The 19,059-nt window shown below is 41.4% G+C and overlaps 1 protein-coding gene across 9 annotated transcripts in view; it reads left to right on the forward strand.

Moving 5' to 3' along the window:
- The window catches only part of AFG1L (AFG1 like ATPase), a 230,948-nt gene that overhangs the window by 205,200 nt on the left and 6,689 nt on the right, over positions 1-19,059 (forward strand). For 8 of the 9 annotated variants that reach the window (NR_136553.2, NM_145315.5, XM_011535657.3 and 5 more), the window contains one exon: positions 9,959-10,099. The exons of the other annotated variant lie outside the window; for it this stretch is intronic. Coding sequence is in view for 7 of the 8 variants with exons in the window: in NM_145315.5 (NP_660358.2) it covers positions 9,959-10,099 (141 nt within the window). In the remaining variant the exon portion in view is untranslated. The remainder of the gene's footprint in view (positions 1-9,958; positions 10,100-19,059) is intronic. 9 annotated transcript variants of the gene reach the window in all.

Consider the following 19,059-nt stretch of genomic DNA (forward strand, 5'->3'; position numbering starts at 1 on the left):
CCTCCCAAAGTGCTGGGACTACAGGCATGAACCACCGTGCCCAGCCGATATATTTCAAAATATATTTGTAAGTTTATTTTTCTTCTCATGATTATATAATATACAGAAATATAATGAATGTTTTCACCAAACTACATATCGATGCTGCCAAATCATCTTATATAACCCTGTGTATCACACAAAGGATATCATTTTTGATGTGTGACATCTTGATCAATGTGACCAATACTGATATATATACATATATATTTACACACACACACACATACATTTTCTTTATCCAGTCCACCATTGATGGACACTTAGATTGCTTCCATGCCTTTGTTGTGAATAGTGCTATTATAAACGTGAATGCAGGTGTCTTTTTGATAAACGTGAGTGCAGGTGTCTTTTGCACTACCCTTTGGGTAGATACCCAGTAGTGGGATTGCTGGGTTGAATAGTAGTTCTATTTTTAGTTCTTTGAGAAATCTCCATACTGTTTCCATGGGGGTTGAACTAATTTGCATTCCCACCAACAGTGTATAAGCATTCCCTTTTCTCCACATTCCTCACCCACATCTGCTATTTTTTGGCTTTTTAGTAATAGTCATTCTGACTTGTGTGAGATGATAGCTCATTGTGGTTTTAATTTGCATTTCTCTGATGATTAATGATGTTGGGCATTTTTTCCTATCTTTGTTGACCACTTGTATTTCTTGTTTTAAGAGGTGTCTGTGCATGTTTTTTGCCCACTTTGAAGATAATTTTTTTTTTTTGAGACGGAGTCTTGCTCTGTCGCCCAGGCTGGAGTGCAACGGTGTGATCTCCGCTCACCGCAACCTCTGCCTCCTGGGTTCAAGCAATTCTCCTACCTCAGCCTCCCAAGTAGCTGAAATTACAGGCACGCACCACCATGCCTGGCTAATACTTTGTATTTTTAGCAGAGATGGGGTTTCACCATGTTGGCCAGGCTGGTCTTGAACTCCTGACCCCATGATCCGCCTGCCTTGGCCTCCCAAAGTGCTGGGATTACAGGCGTGAGCCACCGCACCTGGCCGAAGAGAAATTTTTGATAGTTACCATCTATGTGAACAAGAATCCTCATTCATACAAGGAGACATTAAGAAGTTTTGTATTTTCAGTAATGGTTGACTCTCTGTAATTTGCACCACATTTTTTGTTAGGGCAATGAAGGAAGCTAGATGAAATTAGTAGTAGGATAGGCTAACTGCTGCAACAAATAACCCCCAAATTAGAGGATTAATAAACAAACATGTATTTCTTGATCATATTACTGTCCAATGCAGGCTGACAAGGAAATGTAGCTCCATGCAGTCCTTCATGGACTCAGACTTCATCTCTCCTTTAAGTCCTTAGAGTCCTCTCTATTCACCTGCAGATGAGGAAAAGAAGGAAGATTCTGTGTAGAGTGTTTTTATGGGCTAGACCTTGAAGTGATCATATTACTGTCTCTCTCACTCCCTGGTCTGAACTTGATCACACAGCCACACTTAAATCTAAGGGAGGCTGGGCAATAATACAGGCATACCTTGGAGATATTGCTGGCTTGGTTCCAGGCCACTGGAACCGATGAGTCGCAGGAATTTTTTTGTTTCCCGGTACATATAAAAGTTATGTTTATACTGTAGTCTATTAAGTGTGCAATAGCATTATGTCAAAAAAATACATACTTTAATTTAAAAATGCTTTATTACTAAAAAATGCTAACAACTATTTGAGCCTTCAGTGAGTTGTAGTGTTTTTACTGTTATAGGCTTTTCTTGCCTCAATGTTTTGTTTCTTTTTACCCAGACAGAGTCTCACTCTGTTGCCCAGGTTGGAGTGCAGTGGCGTGATCTCGGCTCACTGCAACCTCTGCCTCCCAGGTTCAAGCGATTCTCTTGGCTCAGCCTCCTGAGTAGCTGAGATTACAGGTGCAGCCACCATGCCTGGTTTTGCTTTTTGTTTGTTTGTTTGTTTGTTTTTTGAGTTGGAGTTTTGCTCTTGTTGCCGAGGCTGGAGTGCAATGGCGTGATCTCGGCTCACTGTAACCTCTGCCTCCTGGGTTTAAGTGATTCTGCTGCCTCAGCCTCCTGAGTAGCTGGGATTACAGACATGTGCCAGCATGCCTGGCTAATTTTGTATTTTTAGTAGAGATGGTGTTTCTCCATGTTGGTCAGGCTGGTCTCGAACTCCCTGCCTCAGGTGATCCACTCGCTTCGGCCTCCCAAAGTGCTGAGATTACAGGCATGAGCCACCGTGCCTGGCCTGGTTTTGTATTTTTAGTAGAGACAGGGTTTCCCCATGTTGGCCAGGCTGGTCTTGAACTCCTGACCTCAAGTGATCCGCCCACCTCGGCCTCCCAAAGTGCTGGGATTATAGGCATGAACCACCATACCCAACCTCTTGCCTCAATGTTGATGACTGTTGACTGATCACGGTGGTGATTGCTGAAGGTTAGGATGACTGACAATTTCTTAAAATAAGACAATGAACTTTGCTGTACAATGGACTCTTGCTTTCACAAAAGATTTCTTTCTAGCAAGTGATGCTATTTGATAGCATTTACTCACAGCAGAACTTCTTTTGAAATTGGAGTCAGTCCTCTCAACCCCTGCCACTGCTTTAACAACTAAGTTTATGTAATAGTCTAAATCCTTTGTTGTCATTTCAACAGTGTTCACACCATCTTCACCAGGAGTAGATTCCATCTCAAGAAACCACTTTCTTTCTCATCCATAAGAAGCAACTCCTTATCAGTTCAAGTTTGATCATGAGATTGCAGCAATTCAGCCATATCTTCAGGCTCCACTTCTAATTCTAGTTCTCTTGCCATATCTCTCTACCACATCTGCAGTTACTTCCTCTTGAACCTCTCCAAGTCATCCATGAGGGTTGGAATCCTCTTCTTCTAAACTCCTGTTAATGTTGATATTTCGACCTTCTCCCCATGAAGCACTAATGTTCTTCATGGTATCTAGAATGATAAATCATTTCCGGAAAGTTTTCAATTAACTTAGCCCAGATCCATCACAGGAATCGCTATATGTGGCAGCTATGGCCTTCCAAAATGTATTTCTTAAATAATTAGACTTGAAAGTCAAAATTACTTCTTGATCCATGGGCTGCAGAATGGATGTTGTGTTAACAGTCATGAAAACAACATTCATCTCTTTGTACAGTTCCACCAGAGCTCTTGGGTGACCGAGTGCATTGTCAATGAGCAGTAATCTTTTGAAAGAAGTCTTTTTTTCTGAGCAGTAGCTCTTAAAGGGGGCTTAAAATACGTAGTAAACCATGCTATAAAAAGATGTGCTGTCATCCAGGCTTTGTTGTTCCATTTTTAGGGCACAGGCAGAGTAGATTTAGCATCATTCTTAAGGGCTCTAGGATTTTCAGAATGGTAAATGAGCATTGGCTTCAACTTAAAGTCACCAGCTGCATTAGCCCCTAGCAAGAGAGTCAGTCTATCCTTTTGAAGCTTTGAAGCCAGGCATTGACTTCCCTCTAGCTATGAAAGTCACAGAGGGCATCTTCTTTCGATTCATCTGCATTGAAAATCTGTTGTTTAGTGTAGCCACCTTCATAAATGATCTTAACTAGATCTTGCTGCAGCTTCTACATCAGCACTTGCTGTTTCACCTTGAACTTTCGTTATGGAGATGGCTTCTTTTCTTAAACCTCATGAACCAACCTCTGCTGGTTTCCGATTTTTCTTCTGCAGCTTCCTCACCTCTTTCAATCTTCATGTAATTGAAGAGAGTCAGGGCCTTGCTCTGTGTTAGGCTTTGCCTTAGGGAAGCATTGTGGCTGGTCTGATCTTCTATCTAGACCACTCAGACTTTCTCCAAATCAACAATAATGCTTTTTTACTTTCTTATAGTTTGTGTGTTCACTGGAGTAGCACTTTTTATTTCCTTCAAGACATTTTCCTTTTCATTCACAACTTGGCTAACTGTTTGGCTCAAGAGGCCTAGCTTTTGGCCTGTCTTGACTTTTGACATGCCTTCCCCACTAAGCATAATCATTTCTAGCTTTAGCTTTTATATGAGAGATGTACAACTCTTCCTTTCACTTGAACACAGAGGCCACTGTAATGTTATTAATTGACCTAATTTTAATGTTGTTGTATCTCAGGGAATAGGGAGGCCTGAAGAGAGGGAGAAAGATGGGGGAACAGCCAGTGGTGGAGCAGTCAGAACACACAAAATGTATCAAGTCCACCATCTTATAAGGATGTGGTTCGTGGCACCCCAAAGCAATTACAACAGTAACATGGAAGATCACTGATCCCAGATCACCATACCAGATGTAATAGTAATGAAAAAGTGTGACATATTGTGGCAGTTAACAAAATGTGACACAGAGACATGAAGTGAGCACATGCTGTTGGAAAAATGTCACCAACAGACTTGCTTGATGCAGAGTTGCCACAAATCTTCAATTTGTAAACAAAACAAAAGTATCTTCAGAATGCAGTAAAATGAAGCACAATAAAATGAAGTGTGCCTGTAGTCTATCTGTGTGCCCAGAAAGAAGAGAAAAACATGGATATTGGTATGCACTAAGCAATCTTGTTTTCAAAATGAGGTGAGCTGAGCTTACTTTTGGCAGCCTTATTGGGTTAGTGGGACAAAAGTCAGAGACTAGGGCCATCCAAGGATGGGAACCTATTTAACTGCCTGTATCCCCCACTTTGGATAAGGTCCTGAGTGGATTTCATCCTGAAGTCCTGAAGGACTGCACTTAGGAATTAGTGTAAAGCAGAAATAAGCCAGCCCTCTCATGGACTTTAGCCAGATTTTCAGCTGAATACTTAGAAAACCTCAAGCCCTGAGCTTGGATTTTTTTTTTTTCTTTTTTCTTTTTTTTTTTTTGAGATGGAGTCTCACACTGTCACCCAGGCTGGAGTACAATGGCACGATCTCAGCTCCCTGCAACCTCCGCGCCCAGGTTCAAGCGATTCTCCTGCCTCAGCCTCCCGAGTAGCTGGGATTGCAGGCGCCTGCCGCCGCACCCGGCTAATTTTTGTATTTTTAGTAGAGATGGGGTTTCACCATCTTGGCCAGGCTGGTCTTGAACTCCTGACCTCGTGTTCCACTCGCCTCGGCCTCCCAAAGTTCTGGGATTACAGGCATGAACCACTGCGCCCAGCCAGATTTTTTTCTATATGTATTTTTTTTCAAAGGTAAAATCCAGGATGTACAAAGATAACCAGGCATATGAGGAGACAAGACATTGTGAATGAGAACAAACAAAAACAACAGACAATAAAATTAGGAACTCCAGATATTAGAAGTATGAATCTATATTTTAAACAGCTAGACTTACATATTCAAAGAACTTTTTTTAAAAAAAAGTGGGCTTGGAACTACGCTTCAGAAGGGATCTAGAGATAATAAAAAGAGACATCTCAACCTTGAAAAAGAATCAGTGGAAATTCTAGAGCTACAAAGTGCAGTAACAAAAATTAAGGGCTCAAGGGATGAGCTTAAGAGCAGATTAAACACAGCTAAGGAGAAGCACAGTGGATCAGAAAAACTATCCAAAATGAATCATGGAGAAGTAATAAAGAAATATACAAAATAAAGGATAAAAGGAGAGTATGACGTTTAACCTAGGTGCATTTAAAGTATCAGAAGGAGAAGAGAAAGGGAATGGAGCAGAGGCAATATACATATGTAGATGTACTTGATATTGTCTGACATTTATGGAGAAAAATACTGACAACACACTAGTCATCATGCTTACATGGGGAAAAATTGCGAAAATTAAGACATGCTATAAATGGGAGCATATTGACCTGGACTGTGGTCACGGGTTTTGACTGGTTTACTTTAAAGTACAGTCACCCCTCTGTATCCATGGGTAATTGGTTCCAGGACCTTCCACAGACACCAAATCTGCAGATCCTGAAGTCCCTGATATAAAGTGGAGTAGTATTTGCATATAACCCATGCACATCCTCCCATATTTTTTGTTTGTTTGTTTTTGAGACAAGGTCTCTGTCGACCAGGCTCGAGTGCAATGGTGGTGATCTCAGCTCACTGCAAACTCAGACTCCCAGGCTCAAACGATCCTCCTACCTCAGCCTCCTGAGTAGCTGCAACTACAGGCGCATACCACCACACCTGGCTAACTTTGTGTATCTTTTGTAGAGATGGGGTTTCACTATGTTGCCCAAGCTGGTCTCCAACTCCTGAGCTCAAGTGATCCACCCACCTCAGCTTCTCAAAGTGCTGGGATTACAGGTGTGAGCCACTGGGCCTGGCTTCCTCCCGTATTCTTTAATTATCTCCAGATTATTTATAATACCTAGTGCAATGTAAATGCTATGTAAATAGTTGTTATAATCTCCAACTCCTGAGCTCGAGTGATCCACCCACCTCAGGTTCCCAAAGTGCTGAGATTACAGGCGTGAGCCACTGGGCCTGGCTTCCTTCCATATTCTTTAATTATCTCCAGATTATTTATAATACCTAGTACAATGTAAATGCTATGTAAATGGTTGTTATAATGTATTGCTTTTTAATTTGTACTGGTTTTTATGTTATATTTTTTTCCAAATATTTTGATTGGCAGTTGGTTGGATCTGCAGATGTGGAACCCACAGATATGGGGAGCCAACTGAATTGTTTTTCTTGTTTATCTTTCCTATTTATTATTCTCTTTTTAATTTTTGACTTTTTTGAACTTTTCTTTTTAGAAATATGCTTACCCATGAATTTATTGAAAACCAAAATGTCATTATTTTAAATTAGTCCTATTCTTATTGGATCTGATTTTTTGGGGGGAAAAAACTTCCTTCTTTGATAAATACATTTCATTCTTCTTTCTCATGTTTTTAAAGAAAAAAGTAGTATTGCTATCTCTCGTGGCCTAAATTGAGAGAGATGTCTTTGGCAATGAATAACCTCTCCTTGTTTGAATGACTTTTTTTTAATTGTAGTAAAATACCATATAACATAAAATTGACCATTTTAACTAATTTTAAGTGTACAGTTCAGTGACATTAAGTACATTCATATTGTTGTGCAGTGATCAACACTGTCTACCTCTAGAACTTTTTCCTCATCCTAGACTGAATGTATTAAACAACAATTCCGCATTCCCCCAATGACTGTTGTCTTGAAAGGAGAAAGATAACTCTACTGAGCTTTGTTTTCTTTATGTGAATGAGCATGTAATTGTTTTAGGGATATGAGGGGAAGGAATAGTTGCTAATGTAATGGCAAATGCAGAACCTACTGACAAAGGTATGTAATTTGTAAAATAGCTGAATGGGCAAAATTCTGATTTTTCAGTTGCCCTAGGCACTTCAGTGCACTTCTGATAATGATTTTCCTTGGGCATGTAGTTATTCTGATAGAAATCACATCCATGCATAACGAGTGAGCTTAATTATACATAACTACATACATAATATGAGGTTTTACATTTTTTTATGTATACTTTCTGGTTTACAAAAGATGAGACACTAAATCCTAACTGATCTCAAAAAAAGTAGTGTACCCTCAGAGCATGAGAGTCTTAATGTATGAGTTTTCCTTTTTACAACAAGACATGTATTTTGCCCTCCCCTCTCTCGCTTTCGGGGATTGTTTTCACTATTTGGTGATTCCACAGTCTCATCTGGTGCCTGCTGTGACTCCCAAGACAGACAAGTGCACAAAGGCTGATTTAGGGTCTTGGATTCCTCTTGAGAATGACATACTCAATTCATTTGTACTGATCCCAATCATTTGAGCTCAAAATAATAAAAATAAAAGTAGCCAAGATGGTTTGAATACTAATGTATGCCCCAGGCACTGTGCTAAACACTTTGCATATATTACTTTGTTTAATTCTCACGATTCTGTCAGATAGGAATCAAATCCCCATTTTACAAATGGGAAAACTAAGGAACAGGAAGATGATGTAATTTGCCAGTGGCACCCAGTTGATAAGTAGCAACTGAGGAGTCAGATCCAGGCCTTCCAGAGCCCTCACTCCCACCTTCTCTATTAACACGTGCTCCTGGTCTGTATTGGGCTCAACAGCAGGATTCTCTTGGAACAGAAGTAGGTTTAAACCAACCCCACCCCACTCCCAGAAAAACCCACAGCATGCTGGAACCCTCCATGGCTGAGGTGAGTGGCTTGTCTCAGCTAAGGCCAGGCACGAGGTCTGGAGGTAGAGGCTTTCCAGCCAGGGAAGGAAAATGGGAAGGGCGGAGCTTGCCTCCTCCTGGCTGCCATTTGTTATCTGGTTGGTGAGAAGAGATGGGAGGAAGGGGCACTGTCAGCACATTTCCAAAGGACTCGGGTCATTCTTGGTGCTCTTTGTCTCTGGTTTTGTGCCCATTGCCTAGGTCCCATAATTGCTGCATCCTTCTTAGAACTGCTCTCTATTTAGGGAACCACTTCTCCAGAACCTAACTCTCTGGATTTACTTGTACCTCCCCACACCTCCATGCAAATTCTTCTTTCCTGAGCATAACTGATTTCAGCTGGTTGGTAGGAGAGTGGTAGGCTTAAGTGAATGGACAAAGGTGAGAATGACTCTCCTCCTCCTCACGGTTTCCTAATTCTCCCAGGAATATCGCCATATCAACATTTCTGAAAGAAGTTTCATGCAAAGGACTTCCCAAATGAGATAGACATTTCTGGACAGGGAGGAATATTGATGGATTCTGCCAGAAACTGAGGAGGCTCAGCCACCTGTGTCCTAGAGGTCGATCAGGGTGACCCAGGAGCTTCCAGAGGGACTTCAGAGCAGCTCCTGGGCCACTCAGTCTCTGCCTTCTCCCGACTCCAGCAGGGCCAGAAACACTCTCCCAACATTTGCTCATGGTTTGCTGCTCACAGAGTACAGTCATCCACAGGCAGCTTAAAATGAGCAGAGGTAACATTTCCTGGGAGTGTTCCTAACCCCAAAGAATGTGTTTGCAGATTGTGTTCCTAATGTTCAGGAGTTAAATTCATGTTTCAGAAACAAGCACTTTACATCTGTAGGTGGCACTTTTGTGAATAATATTGTGGACCTTGAGTCCCATACTCTCCTCGTATCAGGAGGCAGTGTACTGCCTCCAATTATTCTGGAGCTCTCATCTGCTCCTGCTTATTTAAGCCCTTCAGTATTTCCTACAGAGGTTAGCAGTGTTGGACTTGAATAATTGTACCTTAAATTAAACTAAAAATAATTTCTGATGATTTTCATACTGAAGCACAGTCTTTATTTCAAAATGGTGGCATAATCTTCAGCATGCCATTATCAAATAGCTCCATTGACCAATAGTGGCAGTTTGCAGTTGAGTCACGGGAAGGGTTTATTAGGACATGTTTAAAGTGATGTCATAGAAATAAAAATATGGACAGGGACCTAAAGATTACAAACTAAGGCTGTGGCTAGAGATATTCTTTAACTCCCCACCGCACTCTTGTCTTCTCTCTTGCCCCTTTTTCACATCACTATTAAGGCAACACAGTGTATGTTATCTGTGTCCTTAGCCTACTCTGAAAACACTGCCCTTGGTTTCACCAAATAGTGAAAACAATCCCCAAAAGGGAGAGAGGGGAGGGCAAAATACAGTGTCTTTTTGTAAAAAGGAAAACTCATACATTAGGACTCTCATGCTCTGAGGGTACACTACTTTTTTGGAGCTCAGTTAGGATTTAGTGTCTCATCTTTTGTAAACCGGAAAGTATATGTAAAAAAATGTAAAACCTCATATTAGGTATGTAGTTATGTATAATTAAGCTCACTCGTTATGCATGGATGTGATTTCTATCAGAATAACTACATGCTCAAGGAAAATCATTATCAGAAGTGCACTGAAGTGCCTAGGGCAACTGCCTATGGGTAACTTGGTCAAGTTACCCACAGCTACCACCTAGATCACACCATGACAAGAAAGAGGTGTTTTTACACTAAACCACTCCAAAGGCAACCAGAATTGGTTTATTTTTAAGTTTTCTTTTATTTCATTTTATCATAGCCACTTGGAGCCAGTGACTATTTGGAACTATCAAAGAATTTTGATACAATATTTTTACGAAACATTCCGCAATTTACTCTGGCAAACAGGACTCAAGGTCGAAGATTCATAACTCTCATCGATAACTTTTATGATCTCAAGGTAAGGATGTAGTACATTTTCTTAAAACTAAACACTTTGTATTGTGAAGCCAGATTGCCTGGGCTGGAAATCCTGACTTAACATACTTCTATCACTTACTGCACCTCTTTGTGCCTCCATTCCCTCATGTGTGAATTGGGGATGATAATATTATTTACTTCTGAGGGTTGTTGCGAGGACTAAAAAGGCAAATCCATGTAAAGCATTTAAAACATTTGGCACAAGCTGAATGCTGTATAAGCACTATCAGTAGAAGCAGCAGTAGTACTATAGTAAAGCTCCCATCACAAGACACTCTGCTATATGAATGATTGCATCATTCTACCAGACAGCTTATGCGCTTCATCTATCACGTTCTAAAACACAATGTCTTGCATAAACTGAATGCTCAGTAAGTATTTGTTGCATGAATAAATGATTGCACTGATAGAATAATGCATGAGCAAGCCAGGTGTGATGGCTCATGCCTATCATCCCAGCACTTTGGGAGGCCAAGGGAGGATCGCTTGAGGCCAGGCGTTCAAGACCAGCCTGGACAACATAGCAAAATCCTAGCTCTACAAAAAATAAGAAAATTAGCTGGGTGTGGTGATGAGGGCCTGTCATCCTGCCTACTTGGGAGGCTAAGGTGGGAGGATTGCTTAAGCCCAGGAGTTCAAGGTTACAGTAGTGAGTCATGATCACCCCACTGCACTGCAGCCTTCCAGCCTGGGTGACAGAGTGAGGCCCTATCTCTCAAAAAAAAAAAAAAAGAAGAAGAAGAAGAAGTAGAAGGAGGAGGAGGAGGAGGAGGAGGAGGGAGGTAGGAGGAAGGAAGAAGGAAGAAGGAAGAGAAGGAGAAGGAGGAGAAGGAGAAGGAGAAGAAAACAAATGAGTGAATGACTAGAGGACCCTTCTGAATATTGAAGCTCTCTCTCTCCCTATGACCCAGAAACCCCAGTAGCTAGCATTATACCATCTTGTTGTTTGTTTGTTTTTAATCCGCATGTTTTAGTGTGAATTGCCAAGTCACTGCCCATTCATCAAAGGCAGCATGGCCTACTGGTTCAAGAGTGGGCCCTGGGGTCAGGCTGTCTATCCTAAAGGCCATCTTAATCTCTCTGAGCTTCAACTGCCTTTTCTAGAAAAAACAGATAATAATGGTACTTATAAAGTTGTTGTATTAAACAAGCATGTAAAGCACAAAGAATGTTGTCTGGCCTATGGTACGCTCTCAGTAAAAGTGAGCTATTAGTAGAATATATCTGTAAATATAGATTCATAGCAAAAGTACAATTTGAAATTAGAGTTAATTTAAATATTATTTTACCATTAGATATACTTTTTTCTCCCTATTCTTTGCACAGAATTAGATAGACCAGTGATTCTAAATTGAAGGGGCTTTGTGGGAAGAAGATAAGCAACAGAATCTGCTGGGAGGGAGAGGTGACAATTTAATGTTTCATTTGCTCATTCATTCTGTAAACTTCATCATGCCAAGCGCTAGAAATTCAGTGGCAAGTGAAACTAGATGGTGCTTGCCTTCAAAGAGCTTAGATAGCCTGATATCAGAGAAACGTGAATCAGATGTCCACAGAACTCGATGTAAAATCACCACTGTGGGATGACCTGTTAGACAGAGAAGGAGGCATATGGTGCTGTGAGAGTCTAGCAGGGGAGAGTGCACTGATCTATGGGGTGGGAAATCCTCTGAGGGCCACCTATGGCAGAACCATGTGGCCTACTTAAAAATCCAGATTCCAGAGCTCACCCATTCCCACCCCAGCAAATGAGTACCAGGCATGGGGCCAGGAACTGCATGTTCTCATGTTTCTCAGGTGCTTCTTATAAATGCTGAGAAGAGTGAGGGCTAAACTCTATGCACAGAATGAAAATGGGTAACCAGCATGGGGAGTTTGCAGCAACCTCTCTGGGATGGGCCGAATGTGAAAGGCAGCAAGTGTGGCTCTGATGCAGAAGCTGAGGGAAGCCCACCTAAGGGAGTGCTATCAAAAGCTGCTGTGCATCCCCGCGGAGCCCACACACATGTGATGGGTAATCTGGAGAGGCAGAAGGCTGAGGACACAGAGCTGGGGGATGGAGGCCCATCAGCTGTGAGTGGTGGCCTTCCACAGACTCGACTCTACAGTAATGGTGGGGAGGGCAGGGGTGGAATGAAGGGCAGGGGCCTGGAGGCTGCTGTTTTTACAGGACTAGGCTTCAAGAAGAAGACAACAGAGGGGCATGAATAGGATGGCTCATAGTGGAGGATGGAGAGACTCGTTATTTTGATATTTCAGCTAGGAATGCCTTACAGAAAGCTTATGGTCCCCATCCCTCAGTCCCACCCCCTAACCCTACCTCACCCCCACCTTTTCACTTCTTAATCGAAGGAAAAAAGAATTTTTCTGGCAATATGATAGAATATTCAAACTACCCTCCTAACATTCCCTTTAACTAAATCACACATTTAGAGATTATACTTTTTATTAAAGTGTAGTCAAAACCATTTTATTTCAAAAATTGGTAGCATTAAACAGACATTATTCTAGAATGTATTCATGGAGATTTGTGACAGAAGGATATACCCATGTAAATAATGAAAAATTGTCTTTGATTAAAATAACTTATAAGAGGAGGTAGAAGGCCATTTGGATATGGAAAATCTAGTGTCGAATGTCAACACATGATTTTTAAGTACTGGTGTATTATTATTTAAATAATGATTTTTAAAGATAGCTATGAATCCTGAAGACAAATTCAGGACTTTTAAAACATCAAGAAGAATATGTTTTGTATGGTGGAGCCAAGATGGCCAAATAGGGACAGCTCCAGTCTACAGCTCCCAGCATGAGCGACGCAGAAGATGAATGATTTCTGCATTTCTAACTGAGGTACTGGGTTCATCTCACTGGGGATTGTCAGACAGTGGGTGCAGGACAGTGGGTGCAGCGCACCGAGCATGAGCTGAAGCAGGGCGAGGCATCGCCTCACCCGGGAAGCACAAGGCATCAGGGAATTCCCTTTCCTAGCGAAGGAAAGGGGTGACAGATGGCACCTGGAAAATCGGATCACTCCCACCCTAATACTGCGCTTTTCCAACAGTCTTAGCAAACGGCACACCAGGAGATTATATCCCGCGCATGGCTTGGAGGGTTCTACACCCACAGAGCCTCGCTCATTGCTAGCATAGCAGTCTGAGATCAAACTGCAAGGCGGCAGCGAGGATGGTGGAGGGGCGCCTACCACTGCCAAGGCTTGAGTAGGTAAACAAAGCGGCTGGGAAGCTCCAACTGGGTGGAGCCCACTGCAGCTCAAGGAGGCTTGCCTGTCTCAGTAGACTCCACCTCTGGGGGCAGGGCATAGCCAAAAAAAAGGCAGCAGAAACCTCTGCAGACCTAAATGTTCCTGTCTAACAGCTTTGAAGAGAGTAGAGGTTCTTCCAGCACACAGCTTGAGATCTGAGAACGGACAGACTGTCTCCTCAAGTGGGTCCCTGACCCCCAAGTAGCCTAACTGGGAGGCACGCCCCAGTAGGGGCAGACTGACACCTCACATGGCCGGGTACTCCTCTGAGACAAAACTTCCAGAGGAACGATCAGGCAGCAAAATTTGCTGTTCACCAGTATCTGCTGTTCTGCAGCCTCCACTGCTGATACCCAGGCAAACAGGGTCTGGAGTGGACCTCCAGCAAACTCCAACAGACCTGCAGCTGAGAGTCCTGACTGTTAGAAAGAAAACTGACAAACAGAAAGGACATCCACACCAAAACCCCATCTGTACGTCACCATCATCAAAGACCAAAGGCAGATAAAACCACAAAGACGGGGAAAAAACAGAGCAGAAAAACTCAAAATTCTAAAAATCAGAGCGCCTCTCCTCCTCCAAAGGAAGGCAGCTCCTCGCTAGCAACGGAACAAAGATCGGGTTATCCACAAAGGGAAGCCCATCAGACTAACAGTGGATCTCTTGGCAGAAACTACAAGCCAGAAGAGAGTGGGGGCCAATATTCAACATTCTTAAAGAAAAGAATTTTCAACCCAGAATTTCATATCCAGCCAAACTAAGCTTCATAAGTGAAGGAGAAATAAAATCCTTTACAGACAAGCAAATGCTGAGAGATTTTGTCACCACCAGGCCTGCCCTAAAAGAGCTCCTGAAGGAAGCACTAAACATGGAAAGGAACAACCGGTACCAGCCACTGCAAAAACATGTCAAATTGTAAAGACCATCGAGCCTAGGAAGAAACTGCATCCACTAACGAGCAAAATAACCAGCTAACATCATAATGACAGGATCAAATTCACACATAACAATATTAACCTTAAATGTAAATGGGCTAAATGCTCCAATTAAAAGACACAGACTGGCAAATTGGATAAAGATTCAAGACCCATCAGTGTGCTGTATTCAGGAAACCCATCTCACATGCAGAGACACACATGGACTCAAAATAAAAGGATGGAGGAAGATCTACCAAGCAAATGGAAAACAAAAAAAGGCAGGGGTTGCAATCCTAGTCTCTCATAAAACAGACTTTAAACCAACAAAGATCAAAAGAGACAAAGAAGGCCATTACATAATGGTAAAGGGATCAATTCAACAAGAAGAGCTAACTCTTCTAAATATATATGCACCCAATACAGGAGCACCCAGATTAATAAAGCAAGTCCTTAGAGACCTACAAAGAGACTTAGACTCCCACACAATAATAATGGGAGACTCTAACACCCCACTGTTAACATTAGACAGATCAACAAGACAGAAAGTCAACAAGGATATCCAGGAATTGAACTCAGCTCTGCACCAAGCGGACCTAATAGACATCTACAGAACTCTCCACCCCAGATCAACAGAATATACATTCTTTTCAGCACCACACCACACCAATCCAAAATTGACCACATAGTTGGAAGTAAAGCACTCCTCAGCAAATGTAAAAGAACAGAAATTATATAACAAACTGTCTCTCAGACCACAGTGCAATCAAACTAGAACTCAGGATTAAGAAACTCACTCAAAACCACTCAACTACATGGAAACTGAACAGCCTGCTCCTGAATGAACTACTGGGTACATAACAAAATGAAGGCAGAAATAAAGATGTTCTTTGAAACCAACGAGAACAAAGACACAGCATACCAGAATCTCTGGGACACATTCAAAGCAGTGTGTAGAGGGAAATGTATAGCACTAAATGCCCACAAGAGAAAGCAGGAAAGATCTAAAATTGACACCCTAACATCACAATTAAAAGAACTAGAGAAGCAAGAGCAAACACATTCAAAAGCTAGCAGAAGGCAAGAAGTAACTAAGATCAGAATAGAACGGAAGAAAATAGAGACACAAAAAACCCTTCAAAAAATCAATGAATCCAGGAGCTGGTTTTTTGAAAAGATCACCAAAATTGATAGACCACTAGCAAGACTAATAAAGAAGAAAAGAGAGAAGAATCAAATAGACACAATAAAAAATGATAAAGGGGATATCACCACTGATCCCACAGAAATACAAACTACCATCAGAGAATACTATAAACACCTCTATGCAAATAAACTAGAAAATCTAGAAGAAATGGATAAGTTCCTGGACACATACACCCTCCCAAGACTAAACCAGGAAGAAGTTGAATCTCTGAATAGACCAATAACAGGCTCTGAAATTGAGGCAATAATTAATAGCTTGCCAACCAAAACGAGTCCAGGACCAGATGGATTCACAGCCGAATTCTACCAGAGGTACAAGGAGGAGCTGGTACCATTCCTTCTGAAACTATTCCAATCAATAGAAAAAGAGGGAATCCTCCCTAACTCATTTTATGAGGCCAGCATCATCCTGATACCAAAGACTGGCAGAGACACAACAAAAAAACAGAATTTTAGACCAATATCCCTGATGAACATCAATGCAAAAATCCTCAATAAAATACTGGCAAACCGAATCCAGCAGCACATCAAAAAGCTTATCCACCATGATCAAGTGGGCTTCATCCCTGGGATGCAAGGCTGGTTCAACATACACAAATCAATAAACGTAATCCAGCATATCTACAGAACCAAAGACAAAAACCACATGATTATCTCAATAGATGCAGAAAAGGCCTTTGACAAAATTCAACAGCCCTTCATGCTAAAAACTCTCAATAAATTAGGTATTGATGGGATGTATCTCAAAATAATAAGAGCTATCTATGACAAACCCACAGCCAATATCATACTGAATGGGCAAAAACTGGAAGCATTCCCTTCGAAAACTGGCAAAAGACAGGGATGCCCTCTCTCACCACTCCTATTCAACATAGTGTTGGAAGTTCTGGCCAGGGCAATCGGGCAGGAGACAGAAATAAAGGGTATTCAATTCGGAAAAGAGGAAGTCAAATTGTCCCTGTTTGCAGATGACATGATTGTATATCTAGAAAACCCCATCGTCTCAGCCCAAAATCTCCTTAAGCCGATAAGCAACTTCAGCAAAGTCTCAGGATACAAAATCAATGTGCAAAAATGACAAGCATTCTTATACACCAATAACAGAGAAACAGAGAGCCAAATCATGAGTGAACTCCCATTCACAATTGCTTCAAAGAGAAAAAAATACCTAGGAATCCAACTTACAAGGGATGTGAAGGACCTCTTCAAGGAGAGCTACAAACCACTGCTCAATGAAATAAAAGAGGATACAAACAAATGGAAGAACATTCCATGCTCATGGGTAGGAAGAATCAATATCGTGAAAATGGCCATACTGCCCAAGGTAATTTATAAATTCAATGCCATCCCCATCAAGCTACCAATGATTTTCTTCACAGAATTGGCAAAAACTACTTTAAAGTTCATATGGAACCAAAAAAGAGCCCGCATTGCCAAGACAATCCTAAGCCAAAAGAACAAAGCTGGAGGCATCACACTACCTGACTTCAAACTATACTACAAGGCTGCAGTAACCAAAACAGCATGTTACTGGTACCAAAACAGAGATATAGACCAATGGAACAGAACAGAGCCCTCAGAAGTAATGCCACATATCTACAACTATGTGATCTTTGACAAACCTGACAAAAACAAGAAATGGGGAAAGGATTCCCTATTTAATAAATGGTGCTGGGAAAACTGGCTAGCCATATGTAGAAAGCTGAAACTGTATCCTTTCCTTACACCTTATGCAAAAATTAATTCAAGATGGATTAAAGACTTAAATGTCAGACCTAAAACCATAAAAACCTTAGAAGAAAACCTAGGCAATACCATTCAGGACATAGGCATGGGCAAGGACTTCATGTCTAAAACACCAAAAGCAATGGCAACAAAAGCCAAAATTGACAAATGGGATCTAATTAAACTGAAGAGCTTCTGCCCAGCAAAAGAAACTACCATCAGAGTGAACAGGCAGCCTACAGAATGGGAGAAAAATTTTGCAATCTACTCATCTGACAAAGGGCTAATATCCAGAATCTACAATGAACTCAAACAAATTTACAAGAAAAAAAACAACAAACCCATCAAAAAGTGGGTGAAGGATATGAACAGACACTTCTCAAAAGAAGACATTTATTCAGCCAAAAGACACATGGAAAAATGCTCATCATCACTGGCCATCAGAGAAATGCAAATCAAAACCACAATGAGATACCATCTCACACCAGTTAGAATGGCAGTCATTAAAAAGTCAGGAAACAACAGGTGCTAGAGAGGATGTGGAGAAATAGGAACACTTTACACTGTTGGTGGGACTGTAAACTAGTTCAACCATTGTGGAAGTCAGTGTGGCAATTCCTCAGGGATCTAGAACTAGAAATACCATTTGACCCAGGCATCCCATTACTGGGTATACACCCAAAGGATGATAAATCATGCTGCTATAAAGACACATGCACACGTATGTTTATTGTGGCACTATTCACAATAGCAAAGACTTGGAACCAACCCAAATGTCCAACAATGATAGACTGGATTAAGAAAATGTGGCACATGTACACCATGGAATACTATGCAGCCATAAAAAATGAGTTCATGTCCTTTGTAGGGACATGGATGAAGCTGGAAACCATCATTCTCAGCAAACTATGGCAAGGACAAAAAACCAAACACCGCATGTTCTCACTCATAGGTGGAAATTGAACAATGAGAACACATGGACACATGAAGGGGAACTTCACACACCGGGGCTTGTTGTGGGGTGGGGGGAGGGGGGAGGGATAGCATTAGGAGATATACCTAATGTTAAATGATGAGTTAATGGGTGCAGCACACTAACATGGCACATGTATACATATGTAACAAACCTGCACGTTGTGCACATGTACCCTAAAACTTAAAGTATAATAATAAAAAAAAGAATATGTTTTGTATTTAAACTAGTGGATATAAAAAATATAAAAGCTGTTTCCAATATATGATCACATATGAACACTCATTCAAATACTTATGTAATCAAGAGATATTAATGTAAATCTTAGTCTTTTTGAAGAATGTCCTAGCAGGATGCTAAGATAATAAATGTAGGTTCTGGACACTCACTGGCCTAATTAGAATAGCAATGCACTGAACTTAGCAGTCTGCTGTGCAGCAAAAGCGTAACTAACCTCTTTACAGTGTCCCTGGGGAGCGTCTTAGGTGCACAGACCAGCTCCAAACAGCCAGGTATAAATGTCAACATCACAGTGTAATCATCTTAGTCAGTATGTGGTGCTATAACAAAATACCATGGTCTGGGTAATTTATAAATAATAGGAATTTATTTCTTCCAGTTCTGTGAGGTCTGAGATCAAGGAGCCAGCAGGTTTGGGTGTTTGGTGAGGGCTACTATCTGCTTTGTTGCCACCAGAGGGCACAAATGTTGTTCTCGCATGGTGGAAGGAATGGAAGGCAAAAAGTGGTGAACTCCCTCCATCAAATCCTGTATAAAGGCACCGAATCCCATGCATGAAGGCAGAGCCTCATGACTCAATCATATCCTAGAGGCCACACCTCTTAATCCTGTTGCAT

This window comes from Homo sapiens, chromosome 6, assembly GCF_000001405.40.
Source record: "Homo sapiens chromosome 6, GRCh38.p14 Primary Assembly".
Taxonomy (NCBI): Eukaryota; Metazoa; Chordata; class Mammalia; order Primates; family Hominidae; genus Homo; species Homo sapiens.